The sequence below is a fragment of the Homo sapiens genome, chromosome 14 (genome assembly GCF_000001405.40).
Source record: "Homo sapiens chromosome 14, GRCh38.p14 Primary Assembly".
Classification (NCBI taxonomy): domain Eukaryota; kingdom Metazoa; phylum Chordata; class Mammalia; order Primates; family Hominidae; genus Homo; species Homo sapiens.
Genome location: NC_000014.9, coordinates 96,562,094 through 96,573,708, shown reverse-complemented (window position 1 = coordinate 96,573,708; position 11,615 = coordinate 96,562,094). Strand labels below are relative to the sequence as shown.

Below are 11,615 nucleotides of genomic sequence, written 5' to 3'. Positions count from 1 at the left end.
TTACTTACCTTTTATCCTCACAATCACCTTAAAAGGACATTGCTCATCTCCACTGAAAAGGAATACGAGCTTCAAAGAAAATGCTGTAACTGCATGAGCTCAATAGCTAGTAAGTGCTGAAGCTAAGACCTGAATGCAGCTCTGCCTTGAAAACAGGCATTCTTTCCGCTACACACAGAAAGTTGTGTACTAAATGTTTTAATTCAGCTGATATGATAAAATGGCAGTCAAGATGAACTGCCTGATGGGCAACTTTGCTGAATATTTCTAGCATGTGCCAAACCCAGCAAATGATGTATCCTATGGAATTTAATTCTTAACAACCAGAAATTAGGCATCCGTACCACAATGCCAATGCCATCCCCTTTCCACTCAGCAAAATGCCCAGACCTCTTATTTTCCATGCATCTTTATCACAATGCCAATGCCATTTCCCTTCCACTCAACAAAAGGCCTACATAGACCACTTATTTTCCAAGAGGCCCCAGTCTTCTAATTGGCCCTAACATCCGGGCATGCCTCAAACTCCCTGTATTCTCCCCCCATGTTAAACCAATATAGCAGGTTTCAAGTAAAACACCACTCAAGTCAGAGCCTCTAAGGTGCTTCAACTTCTAATCCTTCCTTCATGGAAGCTCCAATGCTTTGGATATTATGATCCTGAGTGGTGATCAAAATAAGATTACAAACAAGAATTTCCAAAGAATTCAGAATTAATGGAGTCATGCTAATTTATGTGGTTTAGCCACTTACTAGCCATATTACTAATTATTTTCTCTAGGCTTCTGGCCTCACCTTACTGTTCAATACTTGTTTCCCCACATCCCAGTTATACTACCCTTCTTTAAAAATTCTGTTCCTAACATGTGAAAATTCTACTTCAAACCTTTCTGAAAATGAAGATTTTCGTGTTTTCCTACAGCCTGTTTGGTTAACAGCCAAATTCAAAGCTCTTCATAAAGTACCGCAAGGGGCCAGGTGCAGTGGCTCACACCTGTAATACCAACACTTTGGGAGGCCGAAGCAGGCAAACTGCCTGAGGCCAGGAGTTCAAGACCAGCCTGGCCAACATGGAGAAACCCTATCTCAACTAAAAACACAAAAATTAGCCAGGTGTGGTGGTGCATACCTGTAATCCCTGCTACTTGGGAGGCTGAAGCACGAGAATCACTTGAACTCAGGAGGCAGAGGCTGTAATGAGCCAAGATTGTGCCACTGTACTCCAGCCTGGGCGACACAGCAAGACTCTGTCTCAAAAAAAAAAAAAAAAAAAGGTGCTACAAGGCCAAGGGGGAGCTAAGAAAATACCAGGAGTCCTTGCAGCTCACCTTTCTTCTACCCATCCCAAGTCTATCTTCTAGGGATTATGATTTAGAGTCCATGACTAGAACTCTCCTTTCAAAAGCCAACCCTGGTAAGTCTGGCAGAGGAAACCCTTCTTTGGAGGTCTCTGAGAACAAATCTGGCCTCAGAAAACATGCTCTCAACATGCTACAGTTCAGTTCACTAAACCAGAGTCCTGTAAGACATTCCATCTTACCTCTTCCCATATCAAAAGTGAGTCAGTAGAACAAATAATACAGAATAGCAAGAACACACTTTACGAGATGGACAGAAGTAGAGAGAAATTACATGATCTTTGATGTCACTTGATAGTTTCTTCATCTATTGCAAATTACTGCTTTTATCTTCCTATCAGTGGATTTCTAGCTTAGCAATAGCTCATGCTCACCATAAACCTCGCAAAAGCCTACTGAGAAAACCTGGTATCGCCCTAATGTACAAGTTGCTCCACTACACCCACAGGTACTACTTCACTTGGGGGATTTATCCTGATTACGATATATCCGAGGACACGAGCTTAACCTTATTCCCCTCTTCAGGTGTGTGGTTCCTAGAGAATGAGTGGTGTTAGACTACCACTACTCAAATAACAGGGAATGAGTGATGTGCTAACATACTCTAGCTATAAAACACATCCCTACATCTGACTTTGGATAAGAAAACCAGCTAGTGACTCCTGAGTAATGTTTTGAGGTCCCCTGTTAAATGAAGTAGAGATGGGTCATAACTGGCTTCTAAGGAGACTATGGGGATTAAGAAAATCGCCTTGAGCCAAGCTAAAACTTCAACTGCTGCCTAGAGATGGCAACATGAAATACAGACTCCTCTCTCAATGGAAATGGTTGAGCAGAGGCCGTCACAGACAAAATGAACGAGAAGGCTCATTAGGTGCCTTCTACTTTGAGACTTTAAAATTTAAACATTTTAAATGTAAATTTTTAAAGAAGACTGGTTATTTTCAAGGAAAAAAAAAAGTTATTCAACAATTTAGGCAGATGACAAAGACCATGCTTGGAAAACTAGCTTTACGAGAATTTTCATTGTTAAGAAACCAAAGTGTTCACGTTTGGGTCATTCAACATGACAAAGGCCACAATGGTATCAGTTTCCTCAAAAGAGAAGTCTACTAAAATAGTCTCATATTTAAGAAAACCTAAGTGAAAAACATGTAACCTAACACAGCTTAAAAATTACAGGAAAAATTTGTACCTTTAAAGTCGCATTAAAGAGAGCCAAAAAAATCTTACAGGTTATCAAGGAGACCACACAAAACATGAACAGCTAAATTGGATGCCAGTAGCCTAAGTTTACAAACAGTGATAGATGAAAAATACAGTTACAATAAGTATGGCTAAAATGTCTAATATCCCATAACCAATGCTTATTGAAGCCAATGCTTATTCTTGAGGCAGGCTTTGTATGAAAACTGTAGTAATACTTTTAAAACTTGTACTATTTTACTATAAAAGCCAAATTAGGATGAACTGAGTGCTTTAAATAATTTTCAAAAATAATTATTTTACAGTTGGAAAGTGTGTGTTGTATATGCAGAGATTTGTCCTGAGCATCTCAAGAACTTAAGGAAAAAAATGGTAATGTGAAGTAAGCCAAAGCGACAGAGAGAGAGGTAGTAGCCTAATAGTGCAGTAAAGTTCCCCTAACAGTCTTGGCACAGTGTCCAGGCATGGTCGGTTCTCAGCTGGGGGCAACTTTCTTGGCTGTGAAGGCAGATCATGCCCTCTGTCACTCATGGGGAGCAGTTCTGCCCAACTGTCTCTTTTCGACAACTTTATCATCAATCTCTTTATTAACAGCTCCACTGCAGTCAGAAAACGCAAACAAGGACCAATTCTCATGCCAGATTTCTGGAAATCACATAGCACCAGGCATCACACAGTGTGAAAGTTTCTAAGGAGGGTGCTATGCCAAGAGAGAGACAGCATCCACAAGGAAGAGCACAAAGTTGGGACATTTTACGTTTTTACACACACACACACACACACACACACACACACACAATTTCTGATGCCTAAAACTGAAAAGAACCCCAAAACTCACATATGTGTGTATGTATGGGGATTGAGAGGGGCACGGTAGTGAGACAGAGATCACCTTACTCCCCAGAAATAACTTTGTTATTTTGCACTTCCAGAAGTCTTTGGGCAAAAACAGTATTATACCAAAAAAAAAAAGTTTTAACTATTTTAGGACTACATGACATTATTAGAAAACACACAAGACTGAGATAAATGTCTCCAATGAGCTGGAAAAAAAAAAAAACCATAAAACTGAAATGTTTGAATTATTCAAAATATATATTTTCAGCATGAAATCTGTTGGATCAAAAAATAACATCCTACAAATTAATTAAAGGAAATACTTCTAAAAAGCTTGTGAAGTATTTTTAAGAGACTTTAAGAGACTTAAAGATAATTTTTTAAAAATCAGGTCATAATCATATCACTAATAAAAACCATCCAGGTTATGTGAAAAATGAGGATACCATCTACACCGTTTCAAATATTGTGATGTGTGGTAATTAAAAGAGGTGAGACTTTATCATTTAACTACTAGTAACATTAAAACCAGCCCAAGACTAAAACCTACCATAACAAACCCGTTGACTTGTTTGAGAAACAAACTGACAAAAAGAGTATTATTCAATGACTACTGAGGAAGACTCTACAATTTTAAGACTGATAATACATAACTGAATTTATACTGTTGCAAAATTTTGCATTTTGCTATAGTATGTCTTAATGCTCTGACACCTGTGCTCAGGTGAAAAGGGAACGGTGCTGCTTAGACCAAGTGGGCAGTGCCGAGTTCAAGTCCAGGGTGAATCAGCTCTCTAGCGTCCAGACTCTATTTATTCCAAAATGAAAAACAAAACCAGCACACCCTTGGGCTTTCCCTAGTCAATTCTGCAACCCAGTAAGAGGGAGTGTGGAGGGCTGAGCATAAATCCATTCTCACCATTAAAAAATTAAAACAACATATAACAAACAAGAACTCTAACCTAGTGGCACAAAGCATTATTCTGTACCTTAGAAGTATCAAAGCAAAAAATATAATCCTTTGATACACACACACACGCTCTCACTCTCTGTCTCTCTCGCTCACTCTTCTGGTTCTTTACTTGAATAGACACATTTCCCACCTTACTGGTGGAATTTAAAGATACCCAGACCAGAGGAAAAAGTGACTGCACTCTTATTTATATTAAAGTATGAATACTTTGAAAGTTAACATTTTAAACAGCAGATAAACTCTAAAAACTCAACAAAAACTGTGCCCTTTGTAGGTGTGACTCTTAGCTGGATTAAAATAGAAAAAACATTAAAAGATAATTGCAGAAAAAAGCACAATAACTAAAATCACAACCTTTCACACAAATGTAAAGTTTCTGAAATGTGAACTTAAGCCTAGTCTTAATTCTACCCTTTTAAGGAAAGGCCTGTGAATTGGGAAGGGATGAAGAAAGAAAAAAATGTACTTAAAATTCCATCCCTTTCAACAGAATACTTGTGTGGTTTGATCAGCTGTAATGATGTTCCCAGAATATTGAGACAAAAGCATGTCTCCAAAGAAGAAAAGAAGTTGAAATGATTTCCCAAGTATATAAAATCACATCTAGAATGAAGTACAATCACTTCTGAAACACATGGCTCAAAAACATTGAGGCCATCTTCCTTATTTGGTGCTAATAAAAGCTATGTAAAATTTAACAAGAATTTTTAAATTGATAAGAAAAAAGAAGAATGAATTGATTCTATGAGAAATAGATATTAAACAGACCACTGGTTTCTATATGACTGAAGGTCATATTTATTACAGAACATAATATTTCATTTACCAAAGTCAGGTCTGAGTGAAGACAGCATCCATTTGTGATACTGGTTTGAAGAAAAGCTAACAAGCAAAATAATGTGGAGAAATAAAAATCAAATCAAAACATACAATTCAGGCTAAAAACCAACTAATTTTCCTTGTACTAGTCATTTTTATTAGAATAAAAACAGGTAAAAGTATATCCAAAGGATTGCTCAGTGCTGCTTCAGGTAAACAGTTTTATAATTTAAGTGCACTAACAGTATTTCTGGGACTCAATCTACAAGTTTGTATACATTAATGATTTATCTGTTCATATATCCATTACGACTTGGAGCTGCTGATCATTTATTGCCACCTTGAATGCAGCCAGAATTAATACTATGCAGAGCTCTAAAACATTTTTCTGTGTGGTGGGAAAAAAACCTGTTAATTAGAAAAATAAAAACTTTATTCTAGAATATACCCACAGCCACAAAACACAACTTTCCATTATAATTTTACTAATTCAGCAAGATGCATGAAAATGCCAAGAGGCCACGTGGATGATAAAACTCAGAAACTGTGATATACAAACTGCATCTAGATGACTATCAAAGTAGAGGAAGTACAGCCAGTTCAATTCTTTTAGTGTTAACAAGGGAGATAAGGGTAATTCCTACAATATTTTCCCTTTTACTGAACAGTCTCAGAAGTTAAATTTTGCTTTTACTAAAAAGTTATCCCACAATGCAGCCACATTCCCATTTTCATATATAGGGAAGGTTACATTAGAATTTTAGAAATGATATATGAACAACTGCATGTCCCTCAGAATAATGGCTTTGACACAAAGAGTCCATCCCTCCACCCAAAACACAAGATAACCATACCCAAGAGCTGACCATCACAAAATACACAGAGCAGCTCGCTCCTGCACCATGAGTTAAGTATCAATGCTGAGCATCTGGGGGGTTAAGAAAAGCAATATCTGATTTGCATTTAGTAAAATAAGAAACATAGAATCCTGTTGGTTGTGGTCTGTAATTCTAAATTCACTGAAAAACAACAGTGCCACCTGCTGACATTAAAGTGCTAAATGCTTTGAAAAGGACAGTACACTGTCCACAGGCATAGAATAAATATACAGATAACGTATGGTGTCTACAGACACAGAACACTTTAGAGGACGGAAGAGCTAAAATTGAATTAATAGTAACTATATTAATGTTTTCCTCCCTAAAGATCAATTATATGAAAAACAAACACCTAATTATTATCTGAGCTATAAATACAAGGCTGCTGCCAATGGCTGAAGTTAACCAGAAACAAATCTTTTCTAATGTAACCAAATTCTTTTGCAAATCCTCACTTAGAATCATACTATAAACTTATGATTACTGGAAAAAAGTAGTAGTCAAAAGAAATCAGGCAACTGTGAGATTGTGCTGTTTTTTTTTTATTGTGTTTTCAATGGAGAAATACATCATCTGTTTACAAAATAGCTCTTGAAAAATACAAGGAGTACAGATACTATAAAACAAAGCAAACTCCAGTCATGAGACACTACATACATCATGCGAAAGCAACAGTCTGATCTCCAGGTTATGAAAACTATAATTAAAAAGTCACTACACAGAAAAGGTCCAAGTTTCCAGCTTGGCAAAACTTGGGTGCAGTTACATGAAACGTTTAATAAACTGAATTGTTTTCCCCAATGTGTAAACAAAATGACAAGACTAAATCTGTGCCTGGTAATTTCAATCTAACTCTGAAGCTACACAAAACACACAGACACCTTGTACATTTCACCTGTTAGTATGACCATCTTTTTTCTTCGGTGGTGGAAGGAAGGGCAAGGTGACTGTGTAAAGCAAAGATGTGGGAAGTAGAAATATTGTTTACTAGACATTATAAAGTCATGGTGAAAAGAAAGCTTCGATTAATGCATAGCCTAAGGGGGAAAAGACTACACTCCAACTTCAGAAAATTAATTTAGAAGGATAGGGGAAGAGATTAAGTAATTGCAGTTTAACATGAAAAATGCACATGTGATAGAATGGAGCACAATGGAGGATTCATAAAACATGCTCATCAGAAAAATCTGTTAAGTCGACTTTGTCCAGATTCAGAAAGAGTAAGTTTATCAACATCTGGCATCCCTCATACTTTGTGAAGATAGATCTTCTACTGCTTAATTATGAGAAATTATTTTATTCAAAGAAAGGAGCTCTTAATCTTTTGATAAAACAAAATAAAGGAGTAGAGAGCTGACTAGATGTCAAGTGCTTGCTAGAAATGATTTTTAAAATGCTTCTACACGTAAAATGTACTGACAAATTTTGGTAAACCATTTAAAAATAAGAATTAGTTTTAAAATCTTGGAGAAAATGCCTTTTTGCCCACATTTAAAACTGAAAATCAATTTTACTATAGATAGGAGTTCTGTGGAGTGTACAAAATTCCTTTTAGAGATCAAATGGCCATCCCAGATAGATATCATGTTTCACAGGCATTACTTTTAGTCACCCTCAAGTTTCAGCCATGGGACCAAAATTTAGTGTTCTGTGCCATGTGGTCACAGGGTCATTGGTTTCACATCATGGCTTAAGAAAATACTGGCATTTTGTTTCTTACGAAGTAAGTCCTACCTTGTGCATACAAGCAAAAAGAAAAAGGAAGAAAACAGGGGAGGGAAAGGCGCAAGAAGCTTTTTTTGTTTGTTTGTTTTGAAGACAACAGATTGAAGGCAAAAGAACACAGAGCTTTCACAAGCTCAAAGAAAAATATTTGCTGGCTGATCGCTGATTTGTATGCACTATAAAACAATTCCATAAATAAAACCAATATATCATTTCTTAATCATGACCCTATCAAAACCAAGTTATTTCCTAACTATTCTTTCAATGTCAAATGTACCCTAGAGTTGACGTTTCATTTTTAAGGGTTACAGCTACCTCATAGGAACTGAACTAGATGTACTCTTACCCTTTCTCTGAAGTATAACAGTACACCACTGCACAACAGTATCCAATTTGAAGACTAATGGTAAAGAAAATTCTTCAGGAAAAACTGAAAATCCATCAAGCTGAAAATCTAAAATTAGTTCTACTTTCTAATGAAAAATACATAAAAGTGCATCATCAGAATAAGTAATTCTTATGCCAGTTTGTATTGCAAATTTTCCAAACAATGCATCAAACATAAACCCAATCCAGATGTCAATTATGAATACAAATATAGCTTGAGGTTGTTTTTTTTAAAGGCAGTAATTTTTGAAATAGTTAATGCAACTGTTGCTAACACAATAATAATAGTACTCCTGGCTTCACATACTAACCTGGACTTCCGATCAAGTGCTGATTAGCCCAGTAAGGGAGGTCACCAAAAAACCCAAATCCATTTCAGTCATGTCTAGTCTTGTACCCTCCATTCTCCTTTTTTAGCATTTGAAGACAACAGGTTGAGTTGGCAGATATTGTTTATGGACCCCTGAGGTTGTTTTTACCGATTCAATCTCAGTTTTATTGAATTCTTGATAACAGGAATAGGATTTGCAGGGAGAGCAGGGATATCAGAAAGGTCTGTACTGGATGTTTTCTGAGAATGAAAGCAAAGAACACAACATTGTTCAAAGCACCATAATTTAACAATGAGATGTATTTTCCATTGCTTTACTTCCTAAGAAACCTTCTAAGAAGAAAAGTATTACAAATTTAAAAACTCTATAATGTTGTCAAAATGGAATGTAAATATGCCTATCACATTATTTGTTCAACAAATAATGTGTTCAACAAAGGAATTTTCAAATAGGTATATTTTAATAATATTTTAAAAACTCCTAAGTAATTTCAAATAGTTTTTAAAATTGTTCCTCTAAGAATCACCTATCATATAATGCTTAAGTTACTGCTAAACTGTATTCACTTATTACAACACTAATAGCTGTAATATTAACTAGTATTGGAGCACCCCCAAGTGGGAGAATACTCAAAGCTCATTTTATATACAGAAGCAGCAGTAAATTTATTATTTTCTGACACTGTAAATTAAACAAATATATACAGCTAAGCAATAATTTAATCATCCTAAATTTTAGGTAGATTATTTTCATATTAATTAGATTAAATCACAAGCGTTCTTTAACACTAAAAAAATACAGAGATGGATCTTTAAAAGTTTTATTATGGAAAATTCCAAACATACACAAAGTAGAGAGCACTGTATAATGCATCCCCATGTATTCATTACCCAGCTTCATCAATTATCAAATCAAAGCCACTGTCCTCCCACTTTCAATTCACCTTGTGTTATTCTGAAGCAAATCCTAGAGATCTTATCATTTCATCTATAAATATTTCCAGATTTATCTCAAAACAATAAGAACTCTTTATTAGGTATAGCCACAATATTATCACCTCCCCAGAAATAAGTACGCCCCTAACATTACCAAAGATAGGAATGAATTTTTTTTTAAATCAACATAATCATTCTTCTTACATAACTGGGTGATTTTTCTCTCTATGGCTCTATGAATCCTTTCATTAGAAAGAAAATTCTACTCACTCATAAAAATATCTAAAAGGCAAATACCCATGGGTACTAATTACTATAGGGATAAATTCAGTAAGACAAAACTATGAAAATAAGTCCCGAGAGTATGTGGCAAACCAAAAAACATGCAATCACAATCACAGGACAGTTTAAGACTGATAAACAAGTTTGTCCACGTATCAATATTAAGCATACTTCCTGATGTTAGTTACTCCCCCTAAAGTTTTATTAGATTATGGAAAAGGTATTTCAGAAACTAAACATAATATTTATATATCTTTAGAGTCAATAAAAGTTAACATCTAGCAAAAGCACATGTTTAAATGATCACGTTAAAATAACTCGGAGCTGCACAGGAGCAGCAAAATATCATCATAGTACATAGTATCATATCAGTACAGCAGCAGTTGTTATCTCAGTTACTTTGTAGACATTAACCAGTTTTATCATCTATTAAAGAATATATCTACTTTGTGTCAGAATTTGAGCTAGATGTTAGGGTTCATTCATGTGAAAGGATTCAAGAAAAAAATTATTCAACAAAATGAAGGTTCACAAATCAATGAAAAAAGATTCCAGATGCCTACTGTATTCTGTATGTGAGGGTCTGTCACAAGTAGAATTGCTAGGACAAATGAAAACATAATTCTGAAGAGCTATGGGCTATATTAAATAACTAACTGAAATCAGTAGTGGAAAAATAAGGCAGAAATACATTTTTAAAATAAAAATATATTAGCCTTTGCAAAAGAAATCCACGAAGAATGTTTTTTAGTTCATTCCTAGTTTTAATTTCACTTTTGACCTACAAATAAAACCTACATATGAACCCTGTGTAAATGACTAGTGAGAATTTAAATGATTTGCAGTATCAAATAATATATTAATATAAGGGGATGGGTTAACATCGAAACAGTCCCAGAGAACGGTTCCGTCAAATCCAGGGCCCTGCCTTAAAACTACAATAAATACGTTTATAGGCTAGCAAGTAATTACTTTCAGAAAGATTAATTTTAATAGTCTTCTATGAACTCTCACTTTAATTCAATATACCACACTAATCTTAAGGACATTTACAAAATTCTCCTTGCTTTTTGCACTTAGTACCTGAGAGGCCAACAGAGAAGCCGCTGTCTGAATAGTTTCTGATTGAGTTGTACTTGTCTCTGTATCAAGTTGTTCCTGTGAGACAAAGAGGATGGGGAAGGGGGAAAAGAGACTTAAAAAAGAATAAAAGAACATAACTGGGTTTGGTGGCTAATAAAGAAGACAAACTGGAAGACAGGAGGGATCAAGAGAAAGATGTGACTACATTACAAAAACATCTAGTCAGTAGATGTTGTAGGTTATTTCACCATTTCAGATATTAATAAATTTCTATTTGCCTACTTAAATCTTATAAGGCATGGGTCAAACTAGCTCATGACTTTCCAACCAGCTCCAACTTGGGACATTTTAAGCAAACAATAATTAAAAACACACATAGGCACATCATGAAATGTTGCCCAGACAATAACAGAGCATAAACCCAAGGACAGTTCTTAGCTTTGTGGGAGGAAAAAAAAAAAAAAAAACTTATTCAATACTACTAAATAAAATAACCTCACACCTTTAATTAAAAGTAGAAAATATGTCTAAAAAAGATTTCTCCCTCCTTATGGTCTCTTCACCCCTCTCTAGTAATCAGTGCACTGATTCTACTCATCAGAAAACACAGGGTAAAGTATGTCATGCCATCACTCTAAACTTTTTAAAAGCAGTACACAAAAGAAAATAATATCTACACAAATAAATGAAAATAAAAATATAGGCCAGACGTGGTGGCTCACACCTGTAATCCTAGCACTTTGGGAGGCCGAGGTGGGGAGATCATGACATCAGGAGTTCAAGACCAGCCTGGCCAACAT

At 35.5% G+C, this 11,615-nt stretch overlaps 1 protein-coding gene across 8 annotated transcripts in view; it reads right to left on the bottom strand.

Moving 5' to 3' along the window:
• Window positions 6,593–11,615, bottom strand: part of PAPOLA (poly(A) polymerase alpha) — a 64,741-nt gene continuing 59,718 nt past the window's right edge. For 6 of the 8 annotated variants that reach the window (NM_001293627.1, NM_032632.5, NM_001363662.3 and 3 more), the window contains 2 exons: window positions 10,816–10,890; window positions 6,593–8,754 (listed from right to left, as the gene is read on the bottom strand). In NM_001293627.1, coding sequence (NP_001280556.1) covers window positions 8,659–8,754; window positions 10,816–10,890 — 171 coding nt within the window. In that variant the 3' untranslated portion in view covers window positions 6,593–8,658. The remainder of the gene's footprint in view (window positions 8,755–10,815; window positions 10,891–11,615) is intronic. The other 2 variants (NM_001363665.3, NM_001363666.3) reach the window with 1 other exon arrangement.